The sequence below is a fragment of the Homo sapiens genome, chromosome 3, assembly GCF_000001405.40.
Source record: "Homo sapiens chromosome 3, GRCh38.p14 Primary Assembly".
In the NCBI taxonomy this organism is placed as follows: domain Eukaryota; kingdom Metazoa; phylum Chordata; class Mammalia; order Primates; family Hominidae; genus Homo; species Homo sapiens.
In genome coordinates this window covers 57,480,637-57,498,564 of record NC_000003.12, presented here as the reverse complement: position 1 = coordinate 57,498,564, position 17,928 = coordinate 57,480,637, and the positions used below count along the sequence as shown (strand labels likewise).

At 37.7% G+C, this 17,928-nt stretch overlaps 1 protein-coding gene across 10 annotated transcripts in view; it reads left to right on the top strand.

Annotated features, from left to right (window-relative positions):
* The window catches only part of DNAH12 (dynein axonemal heavy chain 12), a 262,335-nt gene that overhangs the window by 57,470 nt on the left and 186,937 nt on the right, over positions 1-17,928 (top strand). For 8 of the 10 annotated variants that reach the window (XM_047447667.1, XM_011533468.2, XM_047447668.1 and 5 more), the window contains 2 exons: positions 8,878-9,056; positions 15,054-15,189. In XM_047447667.1, coding sequence (XP_047303623.1) covers positions 8,878-9,056; positions 15,054-15,189 — 315 coding nt within the window. Of the gene's footprint in view, positions 1-26; positions 565-8,877; positions 9,057-15,053; positions 15,190-17,928 lie in introns of those variants that run through there. The other 2 variants (XM_047447669.1, NM_198564.4) reach the window with 2 other exon arrangements.

The following is a 17,928-nucleotide window of genomic DNA, read 5'->3' as shown; positions in this document are numbered from 1 at the left end:
ACATATGCTTTCATTTCTCTTTCTAGGAGCTGGATTGCTGGGTGGTATGGGAAGTGTATTTTTAACTTTTTAAGAAACTGTTAAGCCAGGCATAGTAGCTTGCACCTGTAGTCTCAGCTACTCAGGAGGCTGAGGTGAAAGGATTACTGGAGCCTAGGAGTTCGAGTCTGCAGTGAGTTATGATCATGCCACTGCACTCCAACTTGAGTGACAGAGCAAAACTCTTTGTCTCAAAAAACAGAAGAAACTTAAATTTCTTTCAAAGTTGTTATACCATTTACAATCTCACCAGCAGTGTATGAGATTTCCAGTTCTTCCACATCCTTTTCAACCTTTGGGCTTATCAGTCTTTTACTTTTTACTATTGTTTTATTTTTTCCCACTGCACTTTCACATCTAGATTATCAGTCTTTTTAATTTCATGTGTATATTGGTATCCCACTGTGGTTTTAATTTGCATTTCCCTGATGACTAATGATGTTTAGCATCTTTTAACATGTCATGTTCCATCTGTGTATCTTTTTACTAATAAAAATAAAGTGTCTTTTGTTTGTACATTTTAAATTGGGTTTTTATGTTTTATTGTTGAGCTATAATGGATGTATTTTATTGGACTATATTGTTATAATCAATGTTATGGAGTTTTAAGAATTCTTTATATATTCTGGGTAAAAGTCTTGTATCTGAAATAGTTTTGCAAATATTATCTCATAGTTTATGCCTTGACATTTTATTTTTATAACAATGTCTTTCAAAGAGCAGACATTTTATATTATAATTAATTCTAGTCTATCAATTTTTTTCTTCTGAGGTTCATACGTTTTGTGTCCTAAGAAATCTTTCCTACTGCATGATCATAAAGATTTGTTCCTACATTTTACTCTGGAAGCTTTTCTTAGAATTCCTAAACAACACATGTGATTGTCTAGAAGTTTTATAGTTGTAGCTTTCACATTTAGGTCTATGACCCATTGTAAGTTAACTTTTGTATGTGGTGTGGGATATGGGTCACTGTTCAGGTGTTTTTCATGTGGACATCCAGCTGCCCCAGCATCATATATCAAAAATACTATCTTGTACTCATTGAATTATCTTGCCATCTTTGTTGAAAATCAATTGACCCTATATCTGTGGGTCTATTTCTGGATTCTCTATTTTCCATTGATTTATGTATCTGTTCTTATGCCAGTACCATGCTGCCTTGATTTCTGTAGTTCAATGGTAAATTGTAAAATCAAGTAGTGCAAGTTCTCCCACTTTGTCCTTTTTCCAAAATTATTTTGACTGTTCTAGGTGCTTTGCATTTCCATATACATTTTAAAATCAACCTATCAATTCCTAAAGAAGCCAGCTAGGATTTTGGTTAGGATTCCATTGAATCTCTGAATCAATTTGGAAAGAACTGCCATCTTGAAATAGAAGCTTTCAATACATGACCATAGTGTGTATTTAAATTTATTTGAACCTTCTTTAATTTCGCTCAGCAATGTAGTTATAGTTTGCATTGTACAGCTCTTGCAAATATTTTCCTAAATCTGTCCCTTAAAATGTTTCTGGTTTACTTGATTTTCTTATAAATAGCATTTTTTTTTTTTGAGACAGAGTTTCACTCTTGTTGCCTAGGCTGTAGTGCAATGGCAAGATCTCGGCTCACCGCAACCTCTGCCTCCTGAGTTCAAGCAATTCTCCTGTCTCAGCCTCCTGAGTAGCTGGGATTACAGGAGCGTGCCACCACACCCAACTAATTTTTGTATTTTTAGTAGAGACAGGGTTTTGCCATGTTGGCCAGGCTGGTCTTGAACTCCTGACCTCAGGTGATCCGCCCACCTTGGCCTCCCGAAGTACTGGGATTACAGGCATGAGCCACTGCGCCTGGCCATAAATAGTATTTTTAATAGCAATTTTTATTTACAGTACAGTGCTGAATAGCAGCAGTGACATAGGGCATCCTTGCTGTGTTTATGGTCTTATGGGAAATATATTCAGATTTTCGTCATTAAATACATTAAGAGTAGGGTTTTTGGTAGATGCCCTTTATCATGTGGATGAAATTCCCTTCTATTCCAAGTTTGCCAAGAGTTTTTATCATGGGAGGGCGCTGAATTTTGTCAAGTATTTTTTGGCATATATTTAATTGATCATATGGATTTTCTCTTTTTTCTGTTAATATTTTGAATTATATTTATTGATGTTCAAATATTAACCCAATGTTGTTTTCCTGGGATAAACTTGAATTACCCCCAAAATTTAGTGCCTTAAAATACCAGACTTTATTATCTCATAGTATCTGTGGGTCAGGAATCCAGCCTTGGATCAGCTGAGTCCCTGTGGCTCAAGGTCTCTCATAAAGTTGCAGTCAAGCTGTCAGTTGGGGCTATGTTCTCATGAAGGTTTGACTGGGGGCAGAATGATTCCAAGTTCACTCAAGTGGTCATTGACAGGATTCGGTTTGCCACAGGCTATTGAATTTCTGGTTTTGGATACATAGATATTTAGGATTGTTATGTTTTCTTGATGAACATTCTTTATTATTATAAAATAACCTTTTAAGTCCCTGATCTTATATATATATAATATATATAAAATCAGGGATTAAAATATATAAATATATAAATAGATAAAATAGTATAAAATATATATAAATATAGAAATATATTTATAAAATTTATATATAAAAATATATTTTAAAAATATATATTTATAAAATATATAAATACATTGTTTAAAATATATATAAATATATAAATATATATAAAATCAAGGATTAAAAATATATAAATATATAAAAATATATAAAATAATATATAAATATATAAAAATATTCATATATTTATATATAATCTCACCAGCAGATATAATCTGGTGAGACTGTAAATGGTATAACAACTTTGAAAGAAATATTTATATATTTATATATTATATAAATACATAAAAATATATATAATATATACAAAATATGTAAATATATGTATATTTTTTTGAGATGGAGTCTCACTCTTGTCGCCCAGGCTAGAGTGAGGTTAATACTTTTTGTGTCCTAATGTGGCACTATCTCAGCTCCCTGAAACCTCCACCTCTGGAGTTCAAGTGATTCTCCTGCCTCAGCCTCCCTAGTAGCTGGGATTACAAGTGCCCGTGACCACGCCCAGCTAATGTTTTTGTATTTTTAGTAGCCATGGGGTTTCAACCTGTTGGCCATGCTGGTCTCGAACTCGTGACCTCAGGTGATCTGCCCACCTCGGCCTCCCAAAATGCTAGGATTACAGGCGTGAGCCACCGTGCCTGGCCCCTGATTATATTTCTTATTCTGAAGTTTTTACTGATTCTAATACTCTAGCTTTTATTTTACAAAACAACTTTATTGAGAAGTAATTCACATATTATACAATCAATCTACTGAAAAAGTATAATTTATTTCTGTCATTTACTGTTTCACATATTTTGGTACTCTGTTATTAAGTGCAAATATATGTGTAAATGTCATATCTTTCTGATGGATTGACCCTTTTATTATTTTAAAATATCTCTGTTTATCTCTAGTAACATTTTTTTTTTTGAGACAGGGTCTTGCTTTGTTGCCCAGGCTGGATTGTAGTGGTGCTGTCACAGCTCACTGCAGCCTTAACCTCTCAGGCTCAAGTGATCCTCCTGCCTCAGCCTCCTGACTAGCTGGGAATACAGGCATATGCCACTATGGTGGGATAACTTTTGTATTTTTTGTAAAGAAGGGGTTTCACCATGTTGCCTAGGCTGATCTCAAACTCCTGAGCTCAAGCGATCTGCCTGCCTCAGCCTCCCAAACTGCTGAGATTACAGATGAGAGCTACCACACTTGGCCCTGAATTTTCTGTATACAATATCATGTCATGTGTAATAGTGATTGTCTTACTTCCTTTCTAATCTGAGTTCGTTTTACTTATTTTTCTTGCCTAATTTCACTGGCTAGTACCTGTAGTACAATGTTTTGTTTTGTTTTAGTACAATGTTTTGTTTTGTTTTGTTTTAGACAGGGTCTCACTCTGTTGCCCAGGCTAAAGTACAGTGGTATGATCTCAGCTCACTGTAGCCTCAACCTCCCAGACTCCAGTGATCCTCCCACCTTAGCCTCCCAATTACCTGGGACTACAGGCACAGGCCACCATGCCTGGCTAAATTTTTATTTTTTTTTATTTTTAGTAGAGACAAGGTCTCACTATGTTGCCCAGGTTGGTCTCAAACTCCTGGGCTCAAATAATCCATGCACCTTGGCCTCCTAAAGTGCCAGGATTACAGGCATGAGACACTGGGCCCAGCCAATGTAGTACACATTTTTGTTTTGTTTTGTTTTGTTTTTAAGACAGGGTCTCACTCTGTTATCCAGACTGGAGTGCAATGGTAGAATCCTGCTCACTGCTGCCTTGACCTCCCTGGCTCAAGCAATCTTCCCACCTCAGCCTCTCAAGTAGCTGGAACAACAGGCGTGTGCCATCACACCCAGCTAATTTTAGTATTTTTTGTAGAGATGGGGTCTCACTATATTGCTCAGGCTGGTCTCAAACTCCTGGATGCAAGTGATCCTCCTGCCTCAGCATCCCAAAGCTCTGGCATTACAAGCACGAACCACCCTTATCTTGTTCTTGATCTTAGAGGGAAATGTTCATTTTTTCATCATTAAGTATAATATTAGTTGTAGGTTTTTCCTAGACATGCCTTATGAAAGTTGAGGATGTTATCTTCTATTCCTAGTTTGTGTTTTTACCATGAAAGAGTGTTGGGTTTCGTTAAATGCTTTTTTTTTTTTTTTTTTTTGACTGGTCAAGTACCCAATAATGAGAAAGGGGAAAGAGTAGAACAAGCAGTTTGATCTGTGATTGACTGTGAACAATCAAATGAGATAACTCACTACCTTTACACCAGTTTGTTTAATGCTTTTTTGGCAGCTATTGAGACGACTATGTGTTTTTTTCTAATATGCATACTTTTTACCTTATTTGGTTTTTATGGGTTCATGAAACTATTTTGTGAATGCATAAATGCATTATTACTTTCACAAATTCAGGGATGGTATATAGTTGTCTTTTGGTAGCTGCAGGTATTTGTTCTAGGACCCCTGTATAGATATCAAAATCTGCAGATGCTCAAGTCTCATATAAAATGGTATAGTATTTGCATATAATTTATGCACATCCTCCAGTATACTTTAAACTATCTCTAGATTACTTCTAATACCTAATGCAATATAAATGCTATATAAAGAGTTATACTGTATTGTCTTTTATTTGAATTATTTTATTGTTATTTTTATGGCTTTTTTCAAATATTTTCAATCTGCTGTTAGTTGATTCTGCAGATATGGAACCCATGGATACAGAGGGCCAACTGTATTCTCTTTAATTTGTATTTTACCATATATCTCAATATAGTGCTATGCAGAGAATAGACACAATAAATGTTCTATGAATTACCAACTAAATTTTTTGTGGTCTGGGTATAACCTGTAGTGTCTATAAGTCCTAAATATCAAGACCAAGTATATGTTTCATTAAAGTTTTGTTTGTTTGTTTGTTTGTTTGTTTGTTTTGAGATGGAGTTTCGCCCTGTCGCCCAGGCTGGAGTGCAGTGGTGCCATCCCTACTCACTGCAAGCTCCACCTCCTGGGCCCAAGCAATTCTCCTGCCTCAGCCTCCTGAGTAGCTGAGACTACAGGTGCCTACCACTACACCTGGCCAATTTTTGTATTTTTAGTAGAGACAGGGTTTCACCATGTTGGCCAGGATGGTCTCAATCTCCTGATCATGATCCACCTGCTTCGGCCTCCCAAAATGCTGGGATTACAGGTGTGAGCCACTGCACCCGGCTTCATTAACTTTGAAAATGATTATTTCCTTAGGTCTATTATTTTGTAGTGACATTTTCTAGAATTTTGTAATAATTTTGGGATAGTTTATATAACTATTTAAAAATTTACTTTTAGATTTAGTAACATATTCCTGGATTTCTTTGTCAGTTTCTGATATACTATAGTTGTGGTTAGTATGCCTATTTTGGGGGAAATTTAAGAATGATGAACTGTAACATCTGTACAGATGAACTTATTTATTATTTATTTATTTATTTATTTATTTGAGTTGGAGTTTTGCTCTTGTTGCCCAGGCTGGAGTGCAATGGTGCAATCTCGGCTCACCACAACCTCCGCTTCCTGGGTTCAAGCAATTCTCCTGTCTCAGCCTCCCGAGTAGCTGGGATTACAGGTATGCACCACCACGCCCAGCTAATTTTGTATTTTTAGTAGAGACACGGTTGCTCCATGTTGGTCAGGCTGGTCTCGAACTCCTGACCTCAGGTGCTCTGCCCGCCCCAGCCTCCCAAAGTGCTGGGATTATAGGGATGAGCCACCACTCCCGGCCTATTATTTATTTATTTTTTTAGAGACAGGGTCTCTGTTGTCCAGGCTGGAGTGCAGTGATGTGAGCATAGCTCAATGCAGCTTCAAGTTCCTGGGCTCAAGTGATCCTTCCACCTCAGCCTCCTAAGTAGCAAGGATTAAAGGCATGTGCCACCATGCCCGTCTAATTTTTTTTTTTTTGACAGAGTCTCAGTCACTCAGGCTATAGTGCAGTGGTGTGATCACGGCTCAACGCAGCCTCTGCCTTCTGGGCTCAAGTGTTCCTCCCACCTCAGCCTTCTGAATAGCTGAGACTACAGGCACACGCCACAACACCTGGCTAATTTTTGTATTTTTTGTAGAGATAGGGTTTCACCATGTTGCCCAAGCTGGCTGGCTAATTTTAAAAAAATTATTATTTTTTTTTGTAGAGATGGGGGTTTCCCTATGTTGCTCAGGCTGATCTTGAACTCCTGGCTTCAAGCAATCCTCCTGTCTCAGTCTCCCAAAGTGCTGGGGGTTTACAGGCATGAGCCATCATGCCTGGCTTATACAGATGAATTTATAAGATGCTTGTGATTTGTGTAAAAATAAAACAGGACAGGGGAGTAGTTAGGAGTATAGTTAAAAAAAGATTGGTCATGAGTTGCTAATTGTTGAAACTGGATAATGGGTACATTTTACCTATTTTTGTATGTTTAAAATGTTCCATGAAAAAATTTAATGTAATTGTGAAATATAACATACATAGTACATATGTATAGACCGATAGGTAATTATAACCTAGGTGTTAATAACCATGTAGCTTAAGAAAGAGAACTTTGCAAAACCCAGAAGCCACCACGTGCCTCTCCCCAATTATAACTTTCTTCTGTCTTTATTGGTAACTATTACCCTGACATTTCTTGCTTTCCTTTATGGTTTTACCACCTATGTGTGTATACTTAAATAATATAGTTTAGTTTTGTCCACGGTAAGTTTGTATGAAAGGTATCATACTGTATATATTCTTTTGTGTTTTTCTTCTTTCATCATGGTAAAATTTATCCATATTCATCTTTTTTCAATGCCATGAGTTCTGTCTACCCTTTATTTGTTGTTTTTTTTTTTTTTTTTTTTGAGATAGAGTCTCGCTCTGTCTTCCAGGCTGGAGTGCAGTGGTGTGACCTCGGCTCACTGCAATCTCTACCTCTCAGGTTCAAGCGATTCTCAGCCTCTTGAGTAGCTGGCATTACAGGCATGTGCCACCACACTCAGCTAATTTTTGTAGTTTTAGTAGAGACGGGGTTTCACCATGTTGGCCAGGCTGGTCTTGAACTCCTGCCCTCAGGTGGTCCACCCGCCTCGGCTTCCCACAGTGCTGGGATTACAGGCGTGAGCCACCACGCCTGGCCTATTTGGTGTATTTCCAACCAAGAACAAGGCAGGTGCTTAAGATAGTCTTTGAATCAATTAATTATTATCTTCCCCCTTGAACACTGAAAAATTTAAACCCAATTCACCACATCCTAGATACTCTAGAAAAATAGGACAGCATTGAGAGAGAGTAACATGAAGGAAAGTTCTCCTGAAGGAAGAATAAAAGGAACAGGCCATTTCAGTAGAGAGTGGAGATCAAGTGAGAAGGAAGGCAGATAGAAACATTAAAGGTGGATTGTGAAATTAAGTCAAAGTTTGTCCAAAGTTGGTAAGTGTGTTTCACTTTTACCAAGTATCACATATCCTGTCAGATTTTCTTGATACTACTTTGTTTAATTTTAAAAAATTACCCCAGTGTTTGGGCACTAAGAAGTTGACATACATTCCAATATCTTGGATCTTGGTAATTGCAGAGCATCTGTTCCTGGATTATTATCATTATATTTTTAACAGATAGAGTCTTACCCTGTCACCCAGCCTGGAATGCAGGGTGCCATCATAGCTGACTGCAGCCTCAAACTCCTGGGCTCAAGCAATCCTCCCACCTCAGCCTCCTAACAGTAGCTGGGATTATAGGCTCAAACCATCATGCCTGGCTTGGAGTATTTTGACAAAAACCAATAAGTTCCTTATATATATGTATTTTTCCTAAAGGTTGAATTAGAATCCTTGACCATGTGGACGTAAAGTGAAAAAAATAGAATCTTTAATGAGCTATCAGTAATGGCAAAAGCAAATATTTATCCACTATGCAAATTGTTACATGATATAAGTTTGTTTCTAAACAGAGAAATGGGTTGACTCTGGGGATAATTTTAAAAAATAATTATTGAGGGAAATTTTACCGTGTGATATGTTCAGATTTTGATACTGTGAATGGTATCGTATTGGATATTTACTGGTATATTGACAAATTCCTTAATGAAAGAATAGGTGAAAAAAATATGTATGCAACAAGGGAAAAAATTTTAGTCACTTAGCAAAAAAGAAATAAAGTTGTATTTATATAATTAGGACTTTCATAACAATACAATATTATAAAATCACTGAAAGTTCTAAACATTTTTTTTTTCATTTGAACACTTTTTTTCAAGTTTATAGAAAAATTTCTCAGTCTTGCCTCAGAAATAATGCTTTTGCCTCAGTGGATTCATTACACTATGGTGCGTTTGGATTGTGAAGATTTGAAGACAGGCCTGACAAATAAAGCAAAAGCCTTTGCAAACATATTATTAAATGACATAGCTTCAAAATATAGAAAAGAAAATGAATGGTAAGTAGAATTAATTCCCAAGCTCAGAATTATATGGCTAAAAGAAGTATTTTGCTAAAGTAACTCTTGTTTAAAAACAAAAGCTTAAAATATGTAAGTACGTACAACTTTTTCTCCATAGCTGCCTCCTATAGAGGTGCCTTTGTAGTCCCATTGGGCTGGATTCTTTTTGTTTGATACTGTTTGATACCTTTTTAAATGCAACCCAGGATTTTTTTAAAAAAGAAATGGAAATAAACCAGATTCAGGTACAGGTTACATGATAATGATAAGATTGTAGACTTTTGGTGATATTGGGCAGATCTGGGATCATCCCTGACCTCAATATTTACTTATTGTATCACCGAGCTTATTTTTCTCATCTGTAAAATGGAGACAGTAATACCTACTTTTCAGGGTGGCTATAAAATTGGATTCATAAACTAGTGGCCTGCTACTTGAGTGTGTCATGTAGATGTGTTTTGCTTGTTTCACACTGTGTTTTATTTTGTTTAAACAGATTTTGGACTTGCTACCATCATTTTAAAATTAGTACACACACGCACGTGCACACACACACACACACACACACTTTGGATTTCTTACCTTTCTTGAAAAAGTGGGAAGACCATGCCACATCGGGCCTGCTGTGGTAAATGGAGCTAAGAAGCAACTTTGCCTTTTAGAGAGGGAATATGTCCTGTGGTTTGTTCACCCAGTGCTCAACCAATTCATCATCCAATTTATTGAACTCATTTGTTATCTGTGTGTCCCCAAAAAAGCTTGTAACTTCTGTAAAGATGAAAACTAATGTATGTATAGCACCTAGCACACTGCCTGGCACATGGTACTCAATAAATGTTAACTATTATGTTTATTTTCCCGGAAGCAAAGTGAAAAAATTGCATGCTTTGGAATCAGAAAGACATGAATTTGAATACTGATTGCCATTAACTAGTTCCATAACTCTGGGCAACCTACTTAATTTTCCTGAGCCTCAGTTTTCTACTGTGTCAACTATGAAAAATAGTACCTTCCAGGCAGGCACGGTGGCTCATGCCTGTAATCCCAGCACTTTGGGAGGCCGAGGAGGGCGAATCACGAGGTCAGGAGTTCGAGACCAGCCTGGCCAACATGGTGAAACCCCGTCTCTACTAAAAATACAAAAAATTAGCTGGGTGTGGTGGCAGGTGCCTGTAACCCCAGCTACTCAGGAGGTTGAGGCAGGAGAATCGCTTGAACCCGGGAAGTGGAGGTTGCAGTGAGCCGAGATGGCACCACTGCACTCCAGCCCGGGCTACAGTGCGAGACTCCATCTCAAAAACAAACAAACAAACAAAAACAAAAAGAAAAAGAGTACCTTCCTCGCAGGACTAATATTAGGATCACAGATAACATTTGTAAAATATCTAGTGCCTTGCTTGGCATAGAATAGGAGCCCAATAAATATCTTAAATTGAATAAGCAAATATATGACAGTCAGAAGTCAAATTTATCAGGCATATTCTGTATAAAAGTATACTACACGAGAAGATATCAAAGAGGGTAAAGTATTAGAACCTTTCCCTTTCTTGAGAGTTGTAACCATCCTGATGAGTAACAACAATGACAATGCCATAGTTAGTTAAAAAAAACCAAAAAACAAAAAACAAAAAAAAAACACTTTATAAGTTTATGTTTAACATAATTTTTTTGTATTTATTTTTGTAGTATCTGTGATTTTTCTGGAAAATTCCATACTTTTCACAAAATAATTATCTTATTATAAAGCTATGATATAAAAGCAGCTGAAAATTTATCCAGTTTCCTTCACCTAGTTTATTCTTTGATTCCTCCTGTTTCAATTCTGTACTTTAGATAACATCAAAAGGAGGAAATGTGTGCCCCTAGGTTAAGTACAAGGTCACTGAAGAGCAATTTGCTTACTTCACCGTTTGGTTTAGCATCTGCTTGGGCCATCTTGCTCTCATCATTTTGTTTGCCTCCTTTTCTTTTGCTGAAGTATCTCTGCCCAAAGGACTCAGATTCTGCACTAGCAAGATGATCCCCAGGAGGATTATCTGTCTTTTTGCATTATCCACATTAATGCTTGCTCTTTCTTTTTTTTCTTTCTTTTTCTTTTTTTTCTTTCTTTCTTTCTCTTTCTTTTTTTTTTTCTTTCTTTCTCTTTCTTTCTCTCTCTCTCTCCCTCCCTCCCTCCCTCCCTTTCTCTCTCTCTCTCCCTTCCTTCCTTCCTTCCTTTCTTCCTTCTTTTCTATTAGAGACAAGGTCTTGCCATGTTGCCTAGGCTGGTCTCAAACTCCTGGACTCAAGTGATCCTCCCTCCTCAGCCTCCCAAAGTGTTGGGATTACAGGTGTGGGCCACTGTGCCTGGCCACATTCCTCCTGTATTTCTGATATTCAATAATTAACTGTAAAGTCCTACATGATCTGATTCCTGCTCACCACTTCAACTTCGTTTGCCATTCCTAAAGTATGCCAAGCTTATTACCACTTTATGGCCGTTGTCCTTGCTGGTTTTTCTTCCTGGAATCTCTTTTCCTGGTATTTGAACAACTCATTTGTTTTTTCCCCTCACCTTGAATATTACCTCCCTAGAAAGGCCTTCTCTGGCCCCTCTGTATAAAATAGTGGCTTCTTCTTGACACTCCATCATTCTTTTTCCTTTTATGTTGCTTTATTTTTCTTCATAGCTTTTTTTTCTCCTTTAGAGACAGGGTCCTACTATGTTGCCCGGACCGAAGTGCAGTAGCACAATTATAGCTCACTTCCACCTCGAACTCCTGGGCTCAAGGGATCCTCAGCATTTTTTTTGCTACCTAACAGTGTACATATTTGTGTGCTTTTGTCTCTTTCCTCAGCTTCAATACAAGCTTTATGAGGGCAGGGTCTCATTTGCTGCTATATTTAGAATTTTCCTTAGCATATTGTAGGTACTCAGCTATTTATTAAATGAGTGAATGAGCAAGTATAATTTCCCACATATTTCTCCAAATTCCTGCATGAACTAAAAAATCATTTACCTCTTTTACACTTTGTTTTTACATGGTTTTTTCCTGATATTTCTAGTAATAGAATGACAATACCGATTTCTATTTCTTACTTAAAATTAAAAAAAATTTAATAGAGACATGGTTTTGCCATGTTGCGTAGGCTGATTTCAACCTCCTGGGCTCAAGAGATCCTCCTACCTCAGCCTCCCAAAGTACTGGGTTTACAAGCGTGAGCCTCTGTGCCTGGGCTAGATATTTTTTTAAAAGAAAAAATTAATTTTAATTTTTAAAATTTCAATAGTTTTGGGGGGTATAAGTGGTTTTGTTACATGGGTAAATTCTTTTTTTTTTTTTTGAGATGGAGTCTCACTGCAACCTCTGCCTCCCAGGTTCAAGCTATTCTCCTGGAATCTCCTCAGCCCCCCAGGTAGCTGGGGCTGCAGGCATGTGCCACCATGCCTGGCTAATTTTGTATTTTTAGTAGAGATGGGGTTTCATCATGTTGGTCAGGCTGGTCTTGAACTTCTGACCTCAAGTGATCTACCCTCCTGGACCTCCCAAAGTGCTGAGATTACAGGCATGAGCCACCACGCCTAGCAGTTAAGTTATTTAGCGGTGATTTCTGAGATTTTAGTGTACCCATCACTCAAGTAGTGTACACTGTACCAATATGTAGTCTTTTACCCCTCACCTGCCTCTCAGCCTTCCCCACACCGAGTCCCCGAAGTCCATTATATTACTCTTTTGCATCCTCATAGCCTAGCTCCCACTTATAAGTGAGAATATACGATATTTGGTTTTCCATTCCTGAGTTACTTCACTTAGAATAATGGCCTCCAGCCGGGTGCGGTGGCTCATGCCTGTAATTCCAGCACTTTGGGAGGCTGAAGCAGGTGGATCACGAGGTCAGGAGTTCAAGACCAGCCTGGCCAACATGTGAAACCCCATCTCTACTCAAAATACAAAAATTAGCCAGACGTGGTGGCACGCGCCTGTAATCCCAGCTACTCGGGAGGCTGAGGCAGGAGAATGGCTTGAACCTGGAGGTGAAGGTTGTGGTGTATTGCACCACTACACTCTAGCCTGGGCAACAGAGTGAGACTCTGTCTCAGAAAAGAAAAAAAAAAAAGAATAATGGCCTCCAGCTCCATCCAAGTTACAGCAAAGGACATTATTTCATTCCTTTTTATGGCTAAGTAGTATTCCGTGGTGTCTATATACCACATTTTCTTTATCCACTCATTGGTCGATGGGCACTTAGGTTGGTTCCATATCTTTGCAATTGTGAACTGTGCTGCTAATAAACATGCTTGTGCAGATGTCTTTTTCATGACTTCTTTTCCTTTGGGTAGATACCTAGTAGTGGGATTGCTTGATTGAATGGTAGTTCTATTTTTAGTTCTTTAAGGAACCTCAATACTGTTTTCCATAGTGGTTGTACTAATTTACATTCTCACAAGCAGTTTAAGTGTTCCCTTTTCACCACATCCATGCCAACATCTATTGTTTTTTGACTTTTAAATTATGGCCATTCCTGTAGGAGTGAGGTGGTATCTCATTGTGGTTTTAATTTGCATTTCCCTGATGATTAGTTATGTTGAGCATTTTTTCATAGGTTTTTTTGGCTGTCTTCTTTTAAGAAATGCCTATTCATGTCCTTTGCCTACTTTTTGATGAGATTATTTGTTTTTTCCTTGCTGATTTGATTGAGTTCATTGTAGATTCTGGATACTAGTCTTTTGTTGGAGGCAGAGTTTGCAAATATTTTCTCCCACTCTGTGGCTTGTCTGTTTACCCTGCTGATTATTTCTTTTGCTGTGCAGAAGCTTTTTGGTTTAATTAGGTCCCATTTATTTATTTTTGTTTTTGTTGTGTTTGCTTTTGAGGTCTTAGTCATGGATTCTTTGCCTAAGCCAATGTCCAGAAGCTTTTTTCTGATGTTATTTTCTAGAATTTTTATGGTTTCAGGTCTCGGATTTAAGTCTTTGATCCGTCTTGAGGAGATTTTTGTATAAGGTGAGAGATGGAGATCCTGTGGCTGTTCAGGTTTCCCAGCACTATTTATTGAATAGGGTGTCCTTTCCCCAATTTATGTTTTTGTATGCTTTATCAAAGATTAGTTTGGCCCAGATATTTTAAAGCACAGGAAAAAATTCCATGAAATGTAACTTTAGTTGAATAATGCTGTAGGATATCTAGGTTCATATCCTACATGGGATATTCTAAGAGAACTGTTAATTAAAGAAACTATGTATAAGAGTTTGAGGGTTTGATCTGTTTACTTGCTGTACTGTCATGTTTCACAAGAGGCACTAATAATAATAAAACTAATAATTATACTAATGATTATAGTTATCAGTAAATAGAGTGTACTATGTGCTAGACCCTTTGCATTCATTGTTGTATTACAACAATCCAGAAAGATGAGTGTTACCTGGGTATTTAAGAGAGTTGAAGAGGTCGCTAAAATTTTTTTCTAATATGCCATAATTTTGCATGTAAATATTACCTTAATTTTGTAGGTTTTGTTGATGTATAGTATATACTGAATTATAGCAGATAAGCTTTTTTTTTTTTTTTTTTTTTGAGACAGGGTCTCACTCTGTCACCCAGACTGGAGTGCAACGGTGCAATCATGGCCCACTGTAGCTCAACCTCCCAAGCTCAAGTGATCCTCCTGCCTCAGCTTCCCAAGTAGCTGGGACTACAGGCATGTGCCACCATGCCCAGCTAATTTTTGTATTTTTTTTTTTTGTAGAGACAGGGTTTCACCACTTTGCACAGGCTGGTTTTGAACTCCTGAGCTCAAGTGATCTGCCTGCCTTGGCCTTTCAAAGTGCTATGATTACAGGTGTGAGCCACTGTGCCTGGCCAAGCTTAAATATTTTTAAGATACCTTAGTGAATCAAGCAATTTTTTTAGGATATCATAGTTCTTATTTTATAGTAATCGTCATAACACACATTTATTGAATATGATATAACATTAATTGCCATAAGTCTATTAAAGCAGAGTATTATGTCAGTATTTGCAGTGAATTTGAAGCAATTAAAGAACATGCATTAAAAGTCCCTGAAACAACAGAAGAGATGATGGATCTGATATCTTATGTAGAAAAAGCCCGGACTGTAGGAATCGAAGAGTTGATTTTAAGGATCCAGGTAAGGAATTTTAATTTGCATATTTTGGTTTGTTTTCATTGTGAAATATTATTTTCATGGTGAAGATGTATAAAATATATAGTTACACAAATAGCTGTAAATTGAGCGGTTATATTGCCACCACCTAGGCCAAGAAATAGGATATTGTCAGCACCCCAGGACTCTGCATATAACTTTCTGATCGCCATGCCTCTCCTTCTCCCCTGTCCTCTTCTAGAGGTTTCCAGTTGATTTTTACAGTAATTTTAGCTTGGAATTTCTTTTTTTTTTTTTTTTCAATGTTGCACAGCTTTGTTTTTTTATTATTATACTTTAAGTTTTAGGGTACATGTGCACAACGTGCAAGTTAGTTACATATGTATACATGTGTCATGTTGGTGTGCTGCACCCATTAACTCGTCATTTAACATAGGTATATCTCCTAATGCTATCCCTCCCCCCTCCCCCCACCCCACAACAGTCCCCGGTGTGTGATGTTCCCCTTCCTGTGTCCATGTGTTCTCATTGTTCAATTCCCACCTATGAGTGAGAACATGCGGTGTTTAGTTTTTTGTCCTTGCAATAGTTTGCTGAGAATGATGGTTTCCAGCTGCATCCATGTCCCTACAAAGGACATTAACTCATCCTTTTTTATGGCTGCATAGTATTCCATGGTGTATATGTGCCACATTTTCTTAATCCAGTCTATCATTGTTGGACATTTGGGTTGGTTCCAAGTCTTTGCTGTTGTGAATAGTGCTGCAATAAACATACGTGTGCATGTGTCTTTATAGCAACATGATTTATAATCCTTTGGGTATATACCCAGTAATGGGATGGCTGGGTCAAATGGTATTTCTAGTTCTAGATCCCTGAGGAATCGCCACACTGAATTCCACAATGGTTGAACTAGTTTACAGTCCCACCAACAGTGTAAAAGTGCTCCTATTTCTCCACATCCTCTCCAGCACCTGTTGTTTCCTGACTTTTTAATGATCGCCATTCTAACTGGTGTGAGATGGTATCTCATTGTGGTTTTGATTTGCATTTCTTTGATGGCCAGTGATGATGAGCATTTTTTCATGTGTCTTTTGGCTGCAAAAATGTCTTCTTTTGAGAAGTGTCTGTTCATGTCCTTTGCCCACTTTTTGATGGGGTTGTTTGTTTTTTTCTTGTAAATTTGTTTGAGTTCATTGTAGATTCTGGATATTAGCCCTTTGTCAGATGGGTAGATTGCAAAAATTTTCTGCCATTCTGTAGGTTGCCTGTTCACTCTGATGGTAGTTTCTTTTGCTGTGCAGAAGCTCTTTAGTTTAATTAGATCCCATTTGTCAATTTTGGCTTTTGTTGCCATTGCTTTTGGTGTTTTAGGCTTGAAGTCCTTGCCCATGCCTATGTCCTGAATGGTATTGCCTAGGTTTTCTTCTAGGGTTTTTATGGTTTTAGGTCTAACATTTAAGTCTTTAATCCATCTTGAATTAGTTTTTGTATGAGGTGTAAGGAAGGGATCCAGTTTCAGCTTGCTACATATGGCTAGCCAGTTTTCCCAGCACCATTTATTAAATAGGGAATCCTTTCCCCATTGCTTGTTTTTCTCAGGTTTGTCAAAGATCAGATGGTTGTAGATATGCGGCATTATTTCTGAGGCCTCTGTTCTGTTCCATTGGTCTATATCTCTGTTTTGGTACCAGTACCATGCTGTTTTGGTTACTGTAGCCTTGTAGTACAGTTTGAAGTCAGGTAGCGTGATGCCTCCAGCTTTGTTCTTTTGGCTTAGAATTGACTTGGCAATGCAGGCTCTTTTTTGGTTCCATATGAACTTCAAAGTAGTTTTTTCCAATTCTGTGAAGAAAGTCATTGGTAGCTTGATGGGGATGGCATTGAATCTATAAATTACCTTGGGCAGTATGGCCATTTTCACGATATTGATTCTTCCTACCCATGAGCATGGAATGTTCTTCCATTTGTTTGTATCCTCTTTTATTTTGTTGAGCAGTGGTTTGTAGTTCTCCTTGAAGAGGTCCTTCATGTCCCTTGTAAGTTGGATTCCTAGGTGTTTTATTCTCTTTGAAGCAATTGTGAATGGGAGTTCACTCGTGATTTGGCTCTCTGTTTGTCTGTTATTGGTGTATAAGAATGCTTGTGATTTTTGCACATTGATTTTGTATTCTGAGACTTTGCTGAAGTTACCTATCAGCTTAAGGAGATTTTGGGCTGAGACAATGGGGTTTTCTAGATATACAATCATGTCATCTGCAAACAGGGACAATTTGACTTCCTCTTTTCCTAACTGAATACCCTTTATTTCCTTCTCCTGCCTGATTGCCCTGGCCAGAACTTCTAACACTTTGTTGAATAGGAGTGGTGAAAGAGGGCATCCCTGTCTTGTGCCAGTTTTCAAAGGGAATGCTTCCAGTTTTTGCCCATTCAGTATGATATTGGCTGTGGGTTTGTCATAGATAGCTCTTATTATTTTGAGATACGTCCCATCAATACCTAATTTATTGAGAGTTTTTAGCATGAAGCACTGTTGAATTTTGTCAAAGGCCTTTTCCGCATCTATTGAGATAATCATATGGTTTTTGTCTTTGGTTCTGTTTATATGCTGGATGACATTTATTGATTTGCGTATGTTGAACCAGCCTTGCATCCTAGGGATGAAACCCACTTGATCATGGTGGATAAGCTTTTTGATGTGCTGCTGGATTCAGTTTGCCAGTATTTTAGTGAGGATTTTTGCATCGACGTTCATCAGGGATA